The sequence below is a fragment of the Homo sapiens genome, chromosome 6, assembly GCF_000001405.40.
Source record: "Homo sapiens chromosome 6, GRCh38.p14 Primary Assembly".
NCBI lineage: Eukaryota > Metazoa > Chordata > Mammalia > Primates > Hominidae > Homo > Homo sapiens.
In genome coordinates this window covers 144887259-144909666 of record NC_000006.12, presented here as the reverse complement: position 1 = coordinate 144909666, position 22408 = coordinate 144887259, and the positions used below count along the sequence as shown (strand labels likewise).

Sequence of the window (22408 nt, the reverse complement as noted above, 5' to 3'; positions counted from 1 at the left end):
TGTTTCACCATGTTGGCCAGGCTGGTCTTGAACTCCTGACCTCGTGATCCACCCACCTCGGCTTCCCAAAGTGCTAGGATTACAGGCGTGAGCCACCGCACCCAGCCAATATCTCCTCTTAGTAATTTTTCATCCACCAACCTTGCCCAACTGCCACCCCAACTTGCTCCTTGGCTATAAATTCCCACTTATATTTGGAATTGAGTCCAGATCAATCCTGAGGTCTCTTTTTTTTCTCCTATTACAATATTTCCTACATAAAATCGTTTTTCATTCTTTCTTTCTTTCTTTCTTTTTTTTTTTTTTTTTTTGAAACAGGGTCTCACTCTGTCACCCAGGCTGGAGTACAATGCTGTGATATTGGCTCATTGCAACCTCTGCCTCCTGGGCTCAAGTGATCCTTCCACCTCAGCCTCCTGAGTAGCTGGGACCACAGGCACATGCCACCATGCCCAGCTAATTTTTTTTTTTTTTTGGTTGGTTGGGGGAGAGATAGGGTTTCATCACTTTTCCCAGGCTTGTCTTGAACTCCTGAGCTCAAGTAATCTGCCCACCTTAGCCTCCCAAAGTATTGGGATTACAGGTGTGAGCCAACGCACCCAGCCTAATAAAATCTTTTTACCACTTTAACTATCTGGCTCTGATTTTCTGTAACATCCCTCCAATTTTAACATCTTATCCCCCCTCCACGCTTTCAGCTGACAATGGCTCTGGTTCACACATAATGGAAAAGACAGTAGCCATCAGTGTAGAACAGGGTCTGCAAATTATAGTTTTAACAATTGGGGAAAAATTATTTTGCAACACATGAAAATTCAAATTTCAATGTCTATAAAATAGTTTTTGGAACACAGCTACATACTTTTGTCTATGTCCTGTCTGTGACTGCTTTCATGCACCAATGGCAGTTGAATAGTTGCAATGAAGGAAGCATGGCCCACAAAGCCTAAAATAGTTACTGTCTAACCCCTTAGAGAAAACATTTGCCAATATCTGGCCTAAGACAACCTCATCCCTGCACAAAGGTCTTTGTGCGTGGCCCATGCTTTGACTGCTTTTCTGTTACAATGAAAGAACCTCCCTTCTCTAGCTCAGGCTCTCGCTCCATTTACTTCATGCACTCTTACTTTCTCAAGAATTTCACTTGTACAATTAACCTTTTTTATCCTTCATTATCAATATATTCTTCTCTACTGGATTATTTCCATAGACATAAAATCATGCCTTAATATGACCCAATTCTTTAAAAACCTCTATGATGTCGTGTCCCCCTCTAGCCACTATCTATTTCTCTATTCTTCATGACAAAATTTCCCAAAAGGGTTTCTGGCCACACTGTTCCCAACTCCTCCCATCTTTTTCTCTCTTTCATCCACTCCAATAAAGGCTTTTCTATTTACCATTTGCCTGGAGTAGTTCCTGTTAAAGTCAGCAGGGACCTACCTCTTGCCAAAGCCAAGGCGAGGTCTGTGTTTTTTTCCCATGGATGTGTCACTGTCAATCTGTCAAACAATACATTTTTGCACTTGCATTTTATTCTATTCTGTGGCCAGTTGTGGGCTTGACATAGCAACAGTGTTTCATAAATATTTATATTTGAATCTAGAAATAGAAATTAGGGAATGTATTTAATGTCCTTTATTACAGATGGCATGTAATAAATTTCCTGAGTAATAGTATTGTTGTAATTTTGGAAAATGTCTTTAGGAGAGGCGTGCTAAAATATATAGAAGTGTAACATGGTTATAAATTACTTTCAAATGGTTGAGAAAAGATACAGCCAGGAATGGTGGTGTGTGTCTGTAGTCCCAGCTACTCAGAAGGCTGAGATGGGAAGGTCACTTGAGCCGAGGAGGTTGAGGCTGCAGTTAGCCGTGATTGTGCCGCTGCACTCCAGCCTGGGCAACACAGCGAAACACTGTTCCAAATATAGATAGATAGATAGATAGATAGATAGATAGATAGATAGATAGATAGATAGATAGATGTGTGTGTATGTGTGTGTGTGTTTATGCAGAGAGAGAAAGACATCAAATATGACAAAAAGTTCACAAATCTGCATGAAAGGTATATGGTTGCTCACTGTACTACTGATTTTAACTTTTCTATAGGTTTGAATTTTTTAAAGTAAAAACTTGGAGGGAAAATGAGGGAAAATTATGCCATAGTCAATTTGGGTTCATCCCAAAAATCAAAATATCATTCAGCTTTAGAAAAACTATCAATGTTTTGATGGTTTAGAAAAACTATTAACTTTAGAAAATCCAAAGTTTAATGGAGAAAAAAGTAGTGATTTTAACACATACAGGAAAATCATGTAATAAATTCAAACCCATTTGTGATTTAAAAAGAGCTTTTAGGAAATTGAGTTTAGAAGATAACTTTCTTCATTTGATTAAAGAAATTTACCCAAAATCTATAACCAATCTTATTCTGAATGATGAAATTACCATTAATTTCAAGACTGGAGTTTCTGGCAAATTAAACAAGGAGAAAAAATACACATATCCTTGAAAGGAAGAAATAAAAGTGTCTTTCAATGCAGAAAATAAGATTATCTATATAGAAAACCCAATAGACTCATTCATTTCTGGCAATGCAGTATGCTACCAATAACTGGAAATACTCTCTTCCCTTACAAAACACTAGAAATTCTGGAAAACATAATAAATTTCTCCCAAGAACAGTAATTTCCCATGGGCCAGAACAAAGAAGACACTTAAAAGCAAGCAGCAAGCAGAAGTTGATGTCTTGGCTGCACGGCGTGAAGGTGCATTGTCTGGTTATCAGGGGGCTTGGGCTCCAACAGCCACACAGGAATAGGAATTAAGGCCTTGAGCTCATGTGAGGCAAAGAATTGGAACCAAAGACCTTCTCATGAAGCCACGACTCTTGATGGGCTCTAGCTCCTATAAAAGGGTGGATTAGAAAAACCTTATCCATCAGCCCAGAGAGATGACAAGATCTCTTGTTTGCCTAAAGTTAGTATTTTGGTGAAGAAAAAAATTCTCCCCTGAGAGCTCATGCCTGTGTTCATACAGTTTAGAGTTTGAATTTACACTACTAATATCATCTGATAACCCAGAGGGAGAGAAATCAGCATACAAATAGTTCCAAGATGGTGATAATTCATACATAAGGAGATGGATATATTCTCTGGAAGAATATACCATCTTCAAAGTACACAAGGTCTCACAAATCATGCACAACAAAACATGAGCTCCCAATTCTGAAATAGAAGACACACAAGGAAAGAATTATTTATAAGTCAAATCTAACAGACACAATCAAAAGTCGACTTAATGCCCTAAGAACCTGAGAAAATAAAATTAGGAAATATAGGTTCAAAAGTTAAAATTATTAAATACTTATGGAAGAAATGTAAATTCATCTATAAAATTAAAATCTAAGTTGATAAGCCAAAGGATAATTAGGTACAGCTAAATAGATAAGTAATAAAAGCAAAATCAAGCTCAAGAATGTAGCCAAATTCATCAAAAGAATTGAATAAGTAGAAAATATAAACGGGAAATAATGAGACAGAAAGGCTATGAGAAGATGCAACATACATCTTTTTAATTTTTAAACACTGTTTCAGTAGGAAAGAATAGAGACATTGGGAAGGGGTACTATTTTAAGATACAACTGAGAATTTTCCAAAATTGATGAAAGATATGAACCACCAGAATAAGGAATCTTTGAATTTGTTAATCCAAGACAAGGTAGATAAAATAGATCCACAGCTAACATAATTAGTAAGTGGAATACTGAAAATCTTAGAAGAAAGTAGACATAAAATACTGTTTGTTAACGTGGAGGGAATAAGACTAACCACGCATATATCAATGTCAACAATTAAAGTAGAGAAGAATGAATAATATCTTCAAATCACTGAAAGAAAACTGTATATCTAAGATCATATACTAACCAGCAAAGAATGAAGATAGAGTAAAAACTTTTCTGATAGACATAATCTAAAAGAACTTTCTTTAACAGACCTCACTTGAGGATGTACTCCAACAAAAAAAGAACATAAACCCAGAGCAGCGGCCATTAAAAAAGGTCTTCGCTATATCTGTGATTGTTTTTTTCTATTTAAAGGAAACAAATACAATAAAATAGTAACCACTGCTAATGCTGGGTGGCAGTAATGTAGGTATTTGTTGTATTTTTTTAGTTTAAAAATTTTTAAATTAAGCAAAATTTATATATAGTGAAGAACCATCAATAAACTCTCATGTGACTCTCCCACAGTGAAGCTGACAATGTTTCTTTGTGAAATTTTTAGGAAATGAAATATTTTTGAACTTCCATTTATTTAAATATATAGTACAAGTGTCTACCATTTGTCAGACATGCTACCAGACATGAGAGACAAAGGTAACTATTGTCATGGCCCTGCCTCAAAGAGCTTAAAATATGGTAGGGAGATGAAAGTAGCAGACAGATAACTCTCATTCTACAATTATAATTTAAATTAAATGCCTGACAAAGACAAAATCAATAAGCAAAAGAAATAGCAAAGAAACCATTATTACTTTCTCTATATTTACATTATTACTAGAAGTTTTAATGTTTGTAATTTTCAAATTTGATTTATTGTCTATCGCCAAAATATAACTTATTAGTCCCAGAAAATCACAGGTAAATTATGAAAATGAAGCAACTTTGCCATTTAGAGACTGCTAGGAATAACTCAATGTGCCTTTTTTATAGGAAGAAAAATAACTTCTCTTTTTTTTCAGGTATATTTCTAAGATAACTGGAGATGAGCCACTGACAAAAGATAGGAGCTAATATGACCATCAACTAGAAAAATAGGGAGAAAAAAGCATTTTTTGAATAGGATCTCCAAATCTCATACTGCAAGTGATTTGCAGGCAGACTCAATTTGTTTTCTGTACCTGCAATGCTTTCTTTCAATTCAGACAATTGAAAGTGTTTTCAAACTACATCTTACTATTCTCACATCATATTCCAAGTTATAGGCAAGATTGTATTAACCCTTAGAATAGCTATATGGACATAGGTTTAAACAGTCTTTATTTAATTATTATATTAACAAAAGACACAATTTTGACATTAGATATAATGTTAGTGAGTATGATTATTGACCTGATTATTTTAAAATTTGAGTGTAGCAAGATGTAAAATATATATAGACTTTTTATGCTGAAGCTGGAATCCCCACTGTTTTTCTAGGAGGAGTCTCCGTGTTGCTCCTGTAAGTCATTGCTCAGGAGCTATGGCATGAGAATGGAGGCCTTACAGGAGTATTTGGGACCAGAACAGGAGGAAGTCTCAGGAGGCATAAAGCAAACTATGCTAAGACGTGAGACTCCTTTTGTGTGAGCATCCTATCAGAGCCTTCAATAATAGAATCAAATAACAGTATCTGTACAATAGGAAACTCTTGCTGAGAGAAGAGTGATGGCTTTTCCTCCACAAAGTGCAAAACAGGAGATAAACAAGAGCCCATGGTTTTGTTCCCTTTTCAGAATTTGCTGGTATCAATATGACATAGTGGAAAGAACAGCACTTCTGAGCATATCTGATAGGAGTTTAAATTCTGCCCCTTCTTGTCACTTAGCCTGGGACCTCAGCAATACTTTATCTCACTATTCCTGCCTCAGTAAAATGGAAATTTGACTGTTTCCCTCTTAGTATGGTTATTGGGATTAGAAATATTACATATATAGTACCTACCACATAGCAGGCACACAATATATGGTAGTTGTGATAATTAATTTTTGTTAATAATGTCCTTCCAATTCCTTTGAGATTATAGTTTATCATTCATTCTACATGCTGTGTATTAAATCAAATTACATATGGTGCTCCCTGGATAGACAGACACATGAAATATGAGTAAGAGCAATAAGATAATGATTATGAAGGGTTAACTGTTGGCGATGGTGGTGTCTCTTGGAACACTTGGGGACAATACCTGCTCTTTGTAGGCAGGAGGAATGGAAGCTAATGTGTTGTCAAACGGACTGACTTAAGTGTGGGATAGTGCATTCTCTCCTACACTTTTAGGACTCAGATCCTCAGACAAATCATTGAATTTTTGCATTTGTTTGATGCAGTTCTTTAAGTCAAATATTCTCTTCTTCCTACTAGAAATCTCTAAAGTCATGGAGACAGAGCTCTTGATTTATCAATTTCAGAGGCAAGTAACCATTTAGAGACATCTATACTAAAGAAATTAGTTAAAAGCTGAAGCCAAACTATTACTCACGCACTAAGTAAAGAAAGTAGTAGGAGAGTTGTGCTTCTGGCCATGATGGAGTAACTAGTAACAAAATTTCTTACCCACTTAAACTACTTAAAACCTGGATAAAACATATGAAACAATTACCTTCAGGTACTAACAAACAGTATAAGACTGTGATGCCAGAGAAAAGGAATCAAACAAGGTGAGTGCTACATTCACTCTGGAGTTCTGCTTGGAGGCACTTCATGGATTGACACACAGGGAGAGAAAACAAAGAAAGCAGCAGTCTCGTTACATTGAGCAGATGAAGAGGTTTAGAAAAAAACAAAATCAGTGACTTGAAAACATGGCAATAGAAACTATGCAAACTAAAGCACACAGAGAAAAAAGAAAAAATAATTTTTTAAAAAATAGCTCCTTAGTGACTCTGGAACAATGTCATCGTCTGATACATGTGCAACTAAAGTCCCACAGGAAGGGAATGGGTGTAGGAAATTATTTGAATAAATTATGAACAAAAACTTTCCAAATGTAATGGAAACTATAAGTCCACAAATCCAAGAAAATGAACAAACCTCAAGTAGAAGAAACAAACAAAAATCACACCAAGACACATCATAATAAACCTGCTGAAGACCAGAAAATTACAAAGCAGACAGAGGAAAAAAGAATGACTATAGACTTTACATCAGGGGAATAAAAGCACATTTGAAAACAATGGTATAATATTCTCAATTTATGCAAGAAAACACAGCCAACTTGGAATTCTACAGCTAGCAAAAATATCCTTCAAAAGTAAAGGTAAATCATGTGGAATTAATCTCAGGAAAGCAAGGATGGTTCAACATATAAAAATCAATCCATGTAATATATTGTATTAAAGGAATGAAGGAAAATAAATAAGATTATCTTAAATGATACACAAAAGCATTTGACACATGATAAAACCACTTAACAAACTTGAAATGAAAGAGAACTTCCTCAACATGATAAAGGACATCTATGAAAAACCCATAGCTAATATACTCAATGGTAAAAGACTGAAAGCTTTGTTCCTAAGATCAAGAAAAAGATAAGGATGCCTACTTTTGCATTTGTATTCAGTATTAGATTGGGAGTTCTAACCAGAGCAATTAAGCAAGTACAAGAAATGAAAGACATTCACTGGAAAGGAAAAAAATCCATTGAGAACAGCATCAAAAAGAATAAAATAATTAGGAATACATTTAATCAAGGAGGTACAAGACATGTACACTGAAAACTACAAAATATTGCTGCTGAAAGAAATTAAAGAAGACCTAAAATGAAAAAACATCTATGTTCATGAGTTGAAGTACTTAGTTGTCAAGATGGCAATATTCCCCAAAGCAAACTACAGATTGAATGCAATCCCTCCCATAATGCCAGTAGCCCTTTTCAGTCATTAAGGAAATGCAAATCAAACACAACAGGATATACCACTTAGCACCCCCTAGGATGGGTATGATAAAAAGAATTTTTAAATCCCACCAAGTGCCAACACTGCAAGAAAACACTGTCAACTTGGAATTCAAGTGCCAACATTTGTTGGGATTTAAAAGGATATGGAAATATTGGAACCCTCATACATTCCTGGTAAAAATGTAAAATTGTGCAGCCACTGTGGAAGACAATTTGGTGGTTGTTCAAAAAGTTAAACATAGAATTACCATATGGCCCAGCAATATACTTCTAAAATAATTGAAAACAGATATTCAAACAGATGTACACAAATATTCATAGCAGCACTATTTACAACAGCCAAAAGGTAGAAACAACCCAAATGCCCATCAATGGATAAATGAATGAATAAATAAATTGCGGTATATCCATACAATGGAATGTTATTTAGCCAGAAAAATGAATGAAGTACTGATATGTGCCATAAAGTGAATCAACCTCAAAAACATTATGCTAAGTTAGAGAAGGCAGACATGGAAAGTCATATATTGTATATTCCACTTACATGAATTATCTAGAATAGTTAAGTCCAATTAGTGTTTGCCAGGGACTGGGGGTATGAGAGAATTGGGAGTTGCCTATAATTGCTTAATAGGTACAGGGTCTCCTTTGGGAGTGATGAAAATATTTTGGAATTAGATAGAGGTGATGGTTGAATGACATTGTGAATGTACTGTCTCACCAAACTGTACACTTTAAAATGGTTAATTTTATGTTACATGAATTTCATCTCAATATAAACACATAAATAAACAAGTAAATTTGATTTTACTCAATTGCCAAAGAAAATGAAGGCAAAATAGACATTTTAGCAAATCGAATCTGAGAGAATTATAAAAACTAACCTAAGAAATACCAAACCTCTGTGTGTGTGGGTGTGGGTGTGTGTGTGCATCAAAGAAACCTACAGTTAGCTTCATACTTAATGAAGACTAAATTCTTTTCACCTAAAATCAGGAATGAAGCAAGGATTCTATTCTCACTACTTCCTATTCAAAATAGCACTAAACAGCCTAGTCAATGCAATGAGGCAAGAAAAGAAATAAAAAGCATATGGATTGAGAAGAAAAAAATAAAATTATCTTCAGATGACATAATCACAGATATAGAAAATCCTTCAGAAACCACAAGTTACAAAGAACTAATAAGTGAATTTAGTAAGATCCCAGGATATAAGATAAATATACAAACAATCAATTGTATTTCTAAATACTATGGAAAAACAATTGAAAAGTGAAATTTTTAAAAATATGAAAGTTTATTTCAGAAAAGTATCAATAACATGACCTACTTGTGGATAAATTTAACAAAATATGTGCAAAGCCCACATAATAAAAATGTTAAAACATTACTGAAAAAATTACTAATAACATAAATGGAGCACTATACCATGCTTATGAACCAGAAGATTCAATATTGCTAAGCTATTCATTCTCCCCAAATTAATCTACAGATTCATCACAACTGCATTCCAAACCCCAGCAGGCTCTTTTATCATAGAAGTTAGTAATGGTATTCTACAATTTTTATAGAAATACGAAGGCTGAAAATTTAAAAAAATAAAAAATAAAAGAACAAAGTTGTAGGATTTATCCTACTTGGTTTTGAAGACATGTAATAAAAAATCAACAAAAATATATTTTTGGAGTAAAGATACAAATATAGGTCAGAGTAATAGAAGAGGGTCCAAAAATAGGCATATACACATACACAGTCAACTGATTTCTGAAAAAGTGTCAGTTGGGAAAGAACAGCCCTTTCAAAAAATATTGTTTGCAAAAGTAGACAATTTTTTTTTAATGTCAAAGAACTTCACCCCCACTTCATATTACACACAAAATTAATTTGAAGTGTTAACCTAAACATAAAAGCTTAATTATAGGCTGGGCGCAGTGGCTCACGCCTGTAATCCCAGCACTTTGGGAGGTGAAGGCAGGCGGATCACCTGAGGTCAGGAGTTTGAGACCAGCTTGGCCAACATGGTGAAACCCTGTCTCTACTAAAAATACAAAAATTAGCTGGGTGTGGTGGTGGGCACCTGAAATCCCAGCTAGTCAGGAGGCTGAGGCAGGAGAACCACTTGAACTCAGGAGCCAGAGGTTGCAGTGAGCTGAAATCACGCCATTGCACTCCAGCCTGGGCGACAGAGCAAGACTCTATCTCAAAAAAAAAAAAAAAAAAAAAAAAAGCTAAATGATAATACTTGTAAAAGAAAAACTAAACTCTTAGAAAATAATGTAGGAAAATATCTTTGTAACCATGATAGGTAAAAATGTCTTAGATAGAACACAAGAAGCACAAAGGATAAAAGAAAAATTGATAAATTGGACTTCATTAAAATTAAAAACCTCTGTTCTTTGAGAGATAACATTAAAAAAAAATAAGGTAAGCTACACACTGGCAGAAAAGTTTCACAATACATGTATCTGACAACTTATACCTAGAATTTATTTTTTAAATGTTGTAAATGCAATTAAAAGAAAAATAACCTAATAGAAATGGGAAAAATGTTGAAACAAACATTTAAAAATGACTAAAAAGCACATGAAAAGATACCCAACATCATTAGTCATCAAGAAAATCAAAATTACAACTGCAATGGGATAATAATATAAACCCACAGCAATGACTGGAATTAAAAAGACGGACAATATCATGTGTCAGAATACAGGCCAACTGGAACTCTCATATACTATTGATGGGAATGTAAAATGGCACAACCACATTGGGAAATAGTTTGATGGTTTCCTGTAAGTTAAATTACTCTTGCCACACAACCCAGTAATTTCACTCCTAAATATTAACTCAAGAAAATAGAATAAATTACATACCAAGTAATTACCAATATCACATATCAAGTAATTATTTTGCAAAAAAATTAATAGAAGTGTAAATAGATAAACAGATGGTGTTACCTTTGTACAATGTAATATTACTCAGTGATAAAAAGGAATAAATGTCTGTTACACATAAGACATGGATGAATCACCAAATAAAATTTTTAAATGCTGAGCAAAAGAATCCAGACCCCAAAGATTCCAGAACCCCTGCTTTATTTCATTTACATAAACTTCTAAACAAGCAGAACTATAATTGCAGAAAGCAGATTCATTCTTGCCTAAAGCTGAGGTTGGGTGTGGCCATTAATTGCAAAGCATGAGAAGGAAATTTAGGGAATAATGGTCAGACTTTCTACCTTGACTGCGGTGATGTTTACATCTTTACATTTGACAAAACTCATTAAACTTTTTCCTTAAAATTACGCATTGTATCTTATCTTAATTATACCTCCATAAAATTGCTTTAAAAAATAAATGCATAAGGAGATACATATTTAATATTATTTATGATATAGGGCTCTCAAGAATGTGTATTTAACAAATATAGAGAAAGAAAACTTGTTTTTCCATGGTGAGTCTGTTGCTTTTCAGAGAACTCAAGGCACATTTCCTCCTGGCAGACAAATAGGAGTAGAAAGGCAGGTAAACTTTCCTTGTCATAAAAGCCATATATTGGCTGATTCCTAGTTAACTCATCAATTAGAAGAAACTTTCAGGAAACTACCAAGAGCAGAGATCAAAGTCAGATCCAAGAGCAACTTCTAATTCATCATGAAAGAAAACCTCAGAAAATCTGTTTTGGCTATGACAAGAAGTAGTGCACAAGGCCCTGAATCATAGATTTAAGAATCAGAGACACTAAGAGCATCTTTTTTGAATATTTTAAATCAAAGGTGAGGCTATGGCAATTCATGAAGAAAACCTCTGACTCACCCACGGAAATAAGAGGTGCTGACCACAAAGGGCTTTGACCTTCACAGAGCCTCAGAAATTTCATGACTGATCCGTAAGGGCTTTGAAACACACCATTTAATTAATGGAATCATAATGGTATCAGGATGAAAATACGGAATTCCTCCTCTATGCTTCTTCCTAAAGGAGGTGAGAAATTTATGTCACCAGAAAAAGAAGAAATTATTCTATCCTCAATTGACAAATCAGTTGATTTAATACACTTAGGACCGATGAGGCTACTTTCTCAAAATATGTTTTTTAAAGGTCTGATGTGAGCCTTCGGGATGCTAAGCCAGAGGTGTTATTGATTCCAACTGATTCTATAGTTGACTATGGGCTACGTGGGGTAAAGAAAGGAAGGCTGGGCTGAGTAAGAGGTCTGAATCATGGCTCTGTCACTTGCTGGAATGTGAGCTTGGGAAAGTCACTTGATCTTTATTGTTTCATTTTTCTCATCTGCAAACCAAATCTTCCTGGGCTGGGCTCTATGGAGAAGGAACTGGAGCTCTGCAGGCCACAGGAGGCCCATCATGCAGGAAGTTCAGCTTTAAAAGCCAAGTTCATGGGTGAAGGCAAAACCAGCCCAATTGCCCCATAGAAATTACGTTTACGAGGTTTTGAATAAACACAGACATTGTCCCTTCTGGTCTTAAAACTTGTAGTTTACATTTGTCTCATCTGAGTTCCCCCTCAGGCAAGGGACTGAAACTCATCAGACCCTGCATTCAATGAGATGCCAGACCCCTCTTTCTTCGTAATTGCTTCCTTACCCCTCCTTAATTCCTGTTTTACATTCCTTTCCCACTGTATAAACCTCCCAATTCAGTTGGTCGGGGAGATGGATTTGAGACTGACCTTCCAAAATTCATATGTTAAAAGTGCTAATCCCTCTAATACCTTAGATTGTGACTATATTTGGAGATAGATAGAGCTTTTAATGAGATGACTAATTAAAATAAAGCCATTAGGGTAAACCCTAACCCAAAATGACTGGTGTCCTTATAAGAAGAAGAAATTTGGACACACAGAGACACTAGGGATGCACACACATAGAGAAAAGACCACATGAGGATATAATGAGAAGGTGGCTGGCTGGCTGCAAGCCAAAGAGAGAGGCCTCAGAAGAAACCAAACCTGGAACAACTTGACCTTGGACTTTCAGCCCCTTGAACTATGAGAAATAAATTTCTGTTGTGTAAGCCACCCAGTCTATGGTAGCTTGTTATCACAGCCCTAGCAAAACTAATACAGTGTTCAATTTCAATTTAATTAGTTGAAATTGATTAATTACACTTAAGCTACATATTCAAGCAGTGAGGAGTATGTATTTGCAAGAAATGGGAGGTACCAGAAAAGCAACTTTCTAATTGGCTTTGTGGATTCTCTAACAACAAACACATGAAGGAACATTGACTGATGTTCCTATCAATAATATGCTGAAAGACATGTAAAATATCATATTCCTTAGAGTGTTTACAAGTAATACCCTAAAGTTAACCTTTCTGGAAGTAGTCTGAGTTGCAAAAGACAAGAATGGAGAATGAGATCCAGATATTTTTTCATGATATGCTCATGATGTCCTAGAACTCTCTAGAAGCAGTCAGGGTAAACCTGAACTAATCGCCTATGTTCCAATGCACTTCCAGGCCCAGAGCTGTGACCAGATTTGTCTAGTGGCCCAAAACAGATGCTGGATGGCTTTAGGCCAGCAACAGAGCAAGAGAAGCTTAAGTGTTCTTTCCATCCTCATTGATGGAACAGTGAACACGGGGAGTTCTGCCTGAAGAATCAAGAAAATAGAGGGAGATATCAGAGGAACGCAAAATAAAATGCCCTGCTTTTATTTAGAGAAAGAAATAAAATGAAATGTGAAACTCAAAAGCAGGTAGATTTCGTGTTGCTTCCTGGCAATCTCTTAAAACAGAATTAGTTCTACTTTGAATGCCAGGCTTTTAAAAGAGAACAGGAAGAGTAAACAGGGCAATTAGGCAGAGAAAGACCCCGCTGAGAAAAGTCAAAATAACAGACTGGAAGCCTCTTTGCTCCAAGGTTGCAGCTCTGCCAGGTTTCTCTCCAGGAGGGTGGGGAGCAGAAAGGACATCACAGATCCCAGCATGATGGCAGTCTTGGGTCACTGGAGACAGCTCCCTTGAGGGAGAAACGTCTGCTTTTTGTACTCCTGCTCTGAGCATGCCCCTGGCTTTTTAATCATGTGCATCAACACATCGGTGGAATAGTGAAGGCATCTGGCATTTTCCAAACCTAGCTGGGCTGGTGAAAAAGCCACCTATTCATCATCCATCCAGCCTATGGGATAACTAATTTCTGTGAACCCGAGGGATGTTCCTTCAGTGTAATGCAGGTGACAGAAGAATATAAATTACATGTTTACAGATGTCAGTACCTAGCACAGTAGCCAGCTTGGTGGACAGCATAGAAACATTGACAGATTTTAATATAATGCTGTCTAGCCATGGGAATGTGTACACAGACTCACAGAATCATCCATGACCTTGGAGGGGTGTCTCCTTTGTTCTTCAGTCTTCAAACAAAATAAACTTTAGCTATGTAGAACAGAACTTATCCATCATTTTTTTTCCATTCTTCTGCAACAGTGTTTGCAGGGAGCCAACTGTGTGCCAGGCACTGAGCCACGTGCAAGGGGTTAGAGTGTGAATAATTCCAGCTACTCCCCACGTGGTGCCTGAGAAACCACCAACTTATCTGATGACCATAGCGTCTTAGGGACAATGCAGGAGCATCTTCCCTTGATAGGAAAGGGAATGAGGCAGATTTATGAAATCTGAGAGGTCTCATTTTAAAACTTCTGGAGAGGGAGAAATCGTGTAATCTTCATGAATGCTATAGAAAACCTGATCATCTGGGGGAAGTAATCCATTTCCTTTCATTCTCTCTTCAGTGGGGCCATCATGAGGCTCAAAACCATCCTCTTATTGGCACCTCTCAACAAGCATGGTATTTCCCTGATGGGTAAGCCAGTGCATCTCTCTTTTCACCCCATCCTGCATGATACCTTCTGGGAAAGGAGAGGGGGTAGTGTTGACGATGAGATAGGGAGAGGCTTACCCTTCCCAGCCCTGCAGAACAGAACAGTGAAGACAGGAAAGAAGCAGAAGCGGTGGGGTATGAGAGACAGTGATGCCACAGAGCCAGTGTCACTGCTCCAGGTGTTGGGCAAGAGCATAGAAGGTGGTACAGACACGTTGAGGGGAATGACTTGAGCAGTGGACTTTTGAATAGAAATTCAAATCCTATTGGATTCTGAAACAGATCATCTAGAAGCTGTCCTCTCTTCATGGACAGGTAGCAGAACTTCTTCCTGCTCTCTGGTGTCATGGGAAAAAAGCTCAAGCAGCATCACAGGGCCTGCATTCAGCCTATCTTGAGGTAAAAGAGCCAAAGAAAGAATGTGCCAGAGACTCAGAAGGGTCAGGAGCTCAGGGGAGCCCAATTAAACAAGGACTCTGGCCAAGGCAGGGAAGATGTAACCATGAATTACACAAGCCTCCAACTTCAGCTATGAATGGTAGCAGGAACTAGGGGTAAGAAACCATGCTGCAGAGACTAGAGGAGGCAGATCTGAGGCCCCCTTCCCTCTGCTGGGAGGAAGTCCCAGGAAGTCTCTTTGTGCACCCAGATAGCATCGCTTTGAAGAGAAACAGGGGCAACAAGATCTGAATTCAAGCATTCAACCCAGAGAGACTGTCCAAATTACTGAATCAGCAAAAGGATGGTCAGCAACATGTGCTTGGTGGCTGCTGAAGAATGGCAGAATTTCAAGTGATTTTTACTTTCTTCTTTACTCTTATGTATCATTTGGATTTCCTACCATGAGCCTGAATTATTTATATAATCAGAGAAATACGCTATCTTTAGCATACTAAGACTGCTGGATTGGATTAAATCAATCCTCCCCCCTTACACACACACATCTTATCCCTCCTGCTATTTAGTGAGCAAGGGGTCTAAAAATGATCACTAATGCAGGGAGAATAAGAATTACATTTTCCCTGAAGTCTCAGCTTAAGGCAAAGAAATTTGCAACCAACTCCTACATGCCACCCCCACAGCCATGTCTGGAACTTCAGACTCCATGCCTCTCTTTGTTGACACACCATATCTTTTGTCTCTCAGAAGCAAACTATTCTGTGATTCTTGATTTCCCATAGCCCTGACATGCTCTTATATTTAGTTATTTATCTTTCCCACCCTTTGCCGGTCCTCCTTGTTGAGATAAGGATTCATAATGTCTATAAAAAGAGAGAGAGAGAGAGCAGATTCAACAATTGTTTCTTTTGTTTGTTTGTTTTTTTGTAATATTTGTGTGTACTCAAAGACATAGTTCTTACTCAACATCCCAAGTAACCTTTAACTAAATTGCCCGTGCCATTCAACAAGCACAAGACAGGACTCCAGACAAAGAGGTTGAGCAAATTAAACATAAGGGTCCAATTCAATACCCTCTACATAGACTTAACAGGAGTAAGTCAGCCCCTGAATGTGAGCAAAATGATCAGGAGAAAGGAACAAAGATGAAATGGGCCAAAGTGAATTTTCAATGTACAAATAATAATGACAAATGGAAGAAAAAGAAGAACTTCCCCCCCGAGAGGTGGGGTGGAAGGAGTAGAGACCAGAAACCCTCTCAGCCAGTGGGCCCTGTTTTCTCCAGGCTGAATTTAGCGATCCATCCAAATCAGGCAATCTCAGTCCCCTCTTCTCTAGCTCGAGGAGCCTACCTTCTCAGCTCCAGTGTGACAATATTTCAATCACTTCCCCTAGGTCTCTAGGGCTGGGGTAGCAGAGGCCTGTTCAGCACAGGCTCATGACCAGGATGCAGCCAGTTTAGACCCACAGAGAACCTTCCAATTTGCCATTAAAAATGACCTCTTCCACACCCCAAATCATGATTGCCTCTTTGCCACTTGTTTTTTGCAGTTGAATCTGTTCTTCTCTGATACGCCATGCTCTTACCCTGCACCGTCACACTCAGGTGTGTGTTCCCCATTCTAAGGGAGTGCACTTTGTTTTTCCTAAGTGCCCTATCTTTGGCTGGACCTTATTGAACACCAGGCTGTTTGCTTCTGACCACTCTCCCTAAGTCCCCAAGATCCTTTGTGATCTTGTTTTTTAAGATGCCACTACCACCTGCCTCATTGCTTCCTTGACAGCATCCCCACGCTGAACACTCCTCTCCATCACTAAGCCTCTAGAAGTTCTCAAGTGGGAATGATTTTGCCTCCCAGGGGACATTGACTTTGTCTGGAAATATTTTGGGCTGTTACAAAACTGGGGATGGGAGAGTTGTTACTAGTATAGAGTAGGTAGAGACCAGAGATGCTACCGAGCATCCTACAATGCCCAAGGCAACCCTCACAGCAAAGAATTATCCAGCTCAAAATGTCATAGTGCCAAGGTCAAGGGACCACTACCTGGAGGATGATTCAGCCTTCAAGGACCCTGGTAGATCTCTCCAGTGGGGTGGCGGGGGGGAATTCTTTATCCCACCACCCCCAGCCCATCAGCCAGACATCTTTCTTCCCCATCCCCCGCCTTTTTTTAAGTTATGGAATTGAAGAACACAAATGTTGAAATTGTCTCATTTCACAGATGAGGAAGTTGAGGGCCCAAGGGAACATGAACCTCTACCAAGGTCAAACAGTGAAGCTGGACTGTCTGGAATGTTCAGTTATGGTAAATTCCCCATTAATCTATCTGGCAGGCATTTTATTCAGAAATGCAAGCTAGGTCAGTCTGACAGGACCCACTCTTGACAATTCTACTCTGTGTTCTTCTGTTGTCTCCAAAGGACATTACAATGTCATTCTTCAGGCAGGCTTCTGAATTATTCTTAAATTATTTGACGTCTCTGTTTCCCTGTATTATGTATTTAAAAAACACATTGGTGTAATATCCGGTGTGTCTGCATTGCTCTTAGTTTACTTATTGCACATTACCTTCCAAAGCTACACTTTCCCTGGACTGACGTTTGCATACGAAGACATTCGGTAAGACAGTGTGTCACCATGATTATGAGATTCCATCCTGTAGTGACACAAATTCAGATTCAGCATTTTATGAATCTTCTTTTCATTGTGGTGACGGAAGCTCGATTCAGACTATCTTAAGCCTAAAAGGGGAATTTTGGAGTTCATTTATTCGGGAAATTCAAGGTAATGGCTGGCTTCAGGAATGGCTGAATCTGGGGATTCAAACAATGTCAGGGGGATTTATTTTCCCTTTGCCCTCTGTTTCCCCCTGCTTTTTTCCATGGGTTTTCTTTAAACCAACACTCTCTACGTGGCAAAGAGGACCCTCAATGCCTCAACAGCACTAGGCTCTCAAGAGCTGGGCTCTCTTCCTTCCAACATCAGAATCAATCTACAAAAAGCTCTCTGTGGCCAGGCGCGGTGGCTCACGCCTGTAATCCCAGAACTTTGGGAGGCCGAGAAGTGATCTCCTGATCACGAGGTCAGGAGATCCAGACCATCTGGCTAACACGATGAAACCCCATCTCTACTAAAAATACAAAACAAAATTAGCCGGGCATGGTGGCAGGCGCCTGTAGTCCCAGCTACTTGGGAGGCTGAGGCAGGAGAATGGCATGAACCTGGGAGGTGGAGCTTGCAGTGAGCCGAGTTCACACCACTGCACTCCAGCCTGGGCAACAGAGCAAGACTCTGTCTCAAAAAAAAAAAAAAAAAGAAAAAAAGGTCTCTAGTGAGCCTCACTTGGCAGAGAGGTTGAGGTGTCCCTTTGATTGTCAGGCTTATCAGAATCCTATGAAATGGGAAGGAGAAACTTTACCAAAAGGAAGCATTTAGAAGCAGAGAAAATATTAACAACCATATATACTGACAAATATATGTGCCAGGAAACCATCACCACAGTCAAAATCATGAACATATTCTTTTCCGCCAGAGAAGTTTGCTCCATAGTCCCAGCAATGCTTGGTACAGTCAGTCTTTTTAAGTTTTGCTATTTGAATAGATTTGTAATGGTATCTTATTAGGGTTTCAGTTTATATTGTTCTAACAACTAATGATGTTAAGCTACTTTTCACACCCTTGTTTGTCATCCATATACCTATTTTGGTAAAGTACTGTTTCAAATCTTTTGCACATCTTTATTGGGTTTTGTTTTGTTTGTTCCTATTACTGTGTTCCTAGGATGCTTTTGTTTTTGTTTTTTTGAGACAAGTCTTGCTCTGTCACCCAGGCTGGAGTGCAGTGGCACCATCTCGGCTCACTGCAACCTCCACCTCCCGAGTTAAAGTGGTTCTCGTGCCTCAGCCTCCCGAGTAGCTGGGATTACAGACATGATCCACCACACCCAGTTAATTTTTGTATTTTTAGTAAAGATGGGGTTTCACCATGTTGATCAGCCTGGTCTCAAACTCCTGGCCTCAAGTGATCTGTCCATCGTGGCTTCCCAAAGTACTGGGATTATAGGCATAGCCACCGTGCCTGGCCAACTAATTGTTTAACTAATATGAGAATCAGTTTACTTGCGCCGGGCCAGGATTCTTTATATATTCTGGATACAAGTGTTTTTTGTTTGTTTGTTTTTAATCAAACAGGTTATTTGAAAATACTTTTTTTCTCTTTATCACTAATGTTTTCATCCTCTTAACAGTATGTTTATAACAGCAGAAGTGTTAATTTTGATAAAGACTATATTATCAATTTTTTCTTTTATTGATTGTGTTATTAGTGCCATATCTAATAAACGAATTGCCTAACCCAAGGTTACCAATATTTCTTGCATGCTTTTTTATAGAAGTTTCTAGCTTATGGTTTTACATTAAGAATTATAATTTATTTTGTGTTAATTTTTATTTACAGTGTTAATTTTTTTTGCATCTTCATATCCAATTGTCCCATCATCAGTTCTTGAAAAGACTATCCTTTCTCCATTGGATTGTCTTTGCAATTTTGTCAAAAGTCAATTGCCGGCTGGGCATGGTGGATCACACCTATAATCCCAGCACTTTAGGAGGCTGAGGCATGTGGGTCACTTGAGGTCAAGAGTTCGAGACCAGCCTGACCAACATAGTGAAACCCTGTCTCTACTAAAAATACAAAATTAGCTGGGTGTGGTAGCATATGCCTGTAATCTCAGCTACTCGGGAGGCTGAGGCAGGAGAATCACTTGAATCCAGGAGGCAGAGGTTGCAGTGATCTGAGATGGGCCCACTGCACTCTAGCCTGGGCAAGAGTGAAACTCCATCTCAGAAAAAAAAAGTCAATTGCCCCCATATGTTTGAGTCTATTTCTTGAATGGATCCAGTTCCATCAATCTATTGAGCTATCATTATGCCAATACACACTTTCTTGATTATTATAGATTTTACTTTAAGATTTGAAATCAGGTAGAAGTCCTCCAACTTTGTTCTTCCTTTTCAAAGACTATTCTGTATACTTGGCATTGTGTTTCCACATTAATATTAGAATCAGCTTATCAATTTCTACAGAAAAATTGTGCTGGTATTTTGACTGGGATTGTATTTAATCTGCAAATTAACTTGAGGACAATGGACATCAGAAGAAAATTGTCTTCTGATTTATGAACATGGTATATCACTTAAATTGTTTAGGTGTTCTGTAGTTTCTCTCAGCAATGTCTCATTCTGTACACGGTTTCTTGCACAACTTTTGTCAACTTGATACCTAGGCATTTTATATTTGTTATGCAATGTAAAATGATACTGCTTATAAATTTTTTCAAATTTGTTTTAAAATTGTTTTCAATTGTTTGTTACTTGTTTATAGAAATATAGTTAATCTTTGTATGTTGATCTTGTATACTACAACCTAGCAAGGGTCACTTTTTATTTCCGGCTGCTTTTTGTAGGTTTTATATATACTTCAAGAGGATCATGCCATTGGTGAATTTTTTAAAAATCAGTTATCATCTGGAGATTCAACTGGGGAAGAATTTGCTTTTGAACTCATTCAGACTGTTGGTAGAATTCACTTAGAGGTCATTCTTATTTCTAAGAAGTCAACTGCGATTCCTTGCTATGTGGTCTTCCTTGGCATGTCTGCTTATTTCATTATGTCCACAAGGAGAATCTCTGGATACAGTCTTCTTGAAAAACAAAGTCTTAAGGTAATAGAACCACAGAAGTGATATCTTGCAACCTTTGCTATAGCCAAGTAGTTAGAAACAAGTTACAGGTCTTGCCACATGCAAGGGGAGGGATTATACAAGGATGTGAATACTAGAAAGTGATCATTGGAAATCACTTAGTGTCTGTCCACCATAAATTCTGACATAGGGTAGCAATATTCTGGCTTCCAAGTGTTCTGTGCTTAGGAATAAGAACAGGTGTGTGTGGGCGGGGGTGTGTGTGTGGCTTTTTGTTGGCAGAGAGAGAACAATCAGCCCCTTTTGAGCTTCAGTCACTTCCATTTACAGTTTTCATTTCCCTGCTTCATCAGTCATTATATGTGATTAGTTTTATGTGTCAAGTTAGCTAGGCTACAGAACCCATCATTTAACCCATTTATTACTACAGTCTAGGTGTTGCTATGAAAGAATTTCATAATGTGGTTAACATGTACAATCAGTTAGCTTTATTTTATTTTATTTATATATATTTTTTGAGACAGAGTCTCGCTCTGTCACCCAGGCTGGAGTGCAGTGGCACAATCTCAGTTCACTGTAACCTCCGCCTCCCAGGTTCAAGCCATTCTCCTGCCTCAGCCTCCTGAGTAGATGGGATTACAGGCACCCGCCACCACTCCCAGCTTGTATTTTTAGTAGAGACGGGGTTTCACCATGTTGGCCAGGCTGGTCTTGAACTCCTGACCTCAGGTGATCCGCCTGCCTTGGCCTCCCAAAGTGCTGCGATCACAGGTGTGAGCCACTGCCCCTGGCCAATTTAAATAAAGGAGATTACCCTTGATAAAGTGGGTCAACTTCATTCAATCTGTTGAAGGCATTAAGAGCAAAAACTGAGGTTTCCCAAAGAAAAAGAAATTCTTCCTCAAGACTGCAGCATCAGTTTCTCCCTGAGTTTCCAGGCAGCTGGCCTGCCCCATGGATTTCGGACCCATTCCCTCTCAATTACATGAGCCAATTCCCTAAAATAAATCTCATAACATATACATAGGTATCCTGCTGGTTGTGTTACTCTGGAGAATCCTGGTGAATAAACCATACATTTGTTGAAATATTGCATCGGCTGGTAGCTTTCTTTCCATTCTTTTTACCTTGTGGGTTTATAGCTCTTTAAAATCCCTTTAATAATATTTTAATGGAGTCTTTCAAGGGAAACTGTACAACGCTGTGCTCAATCTGAAAGCAGATGTCAAGATAAAGATTACTTGGCTGAGTAAGACTTGATCCTCTAATTGCAAATGTGTTACTCTCATGGGTTTATTTTTAATTTGGAAGTTTCTTTAAAAGTGTCTTAAAAATCATACTATTTATGTGGAAGATGTAAAAGAGAAAAGCTAAGGAAAAATACGATTAGAGGCAGCATCCAATTTCCAAAAAAATTTCTTGAATATCTACTTAGGACCACAATTCATTCTGAGTGGCCATCTATCATCAGGGAGAAGCAGATGGCCACTTCAGCTAGATTTGATGTGCTGCCTAAGGAAATCTCTTTTTATTGACTTTTTAATACAAAAATCCAAGGATTTTTCACCAGCTTTTCCGTATATCTAATGTATTCACAAGTGAGCATGAATGTGTTAAAAAGCAAGGCATCAACTGGACTAAGCAATTAATTGCTAGTGAGCAAGCAGGGACAAGAAAGCATTTGATAGTCACCATGGAAAAGTGGACATGATGGAATAATGGCAGGAAGACTTTAATGTTTCAATTGTATGTGTTTTTTCTCTACCTGCTGAAAAATAAAAATGTATATGTAAGTCTTTTCACTGCA

The 22408-nt window shown here is 37.9% G+C and overlaps 2 annotated features.

Annotated features, from left to right (window-relative positions):
- Positions 11029–12228: an enhancer, noted in NCBI's record as "CDK7 strongly-dependent group 2 enhancer chr6:145218575-145219774 (GRCh37/hg19 assembly coordinates)". NCBI's record gives its function as "activates an origin of replication core promoter dependent on BRD2, BRD4, P300/CBP, MED14 and CDK7 cofactors, with strong dependence on CDK7, by STARR-seq in HCT116 cells {active_cell/tissue: HCT116}" and the evidence as "EXISTENCE:reporter gene assay evidence [ECO:0000049][PMID:35650434]".
- Positions 11760–12054: a silencer, noted in NCBI's record as "tiled region #14510; K562 Repressive DNase unmatched - State 24:Quies". NCBI's record gives its function as "represses a minimal TATA promoter and a strong SV40 promoter by Sharpr-MPRA in K562 cells {active_cell/tissue: K562}" and the evidence as "EXISTENCE:reporter gene assay evidence [ECO:0000049][PMID:27701403]".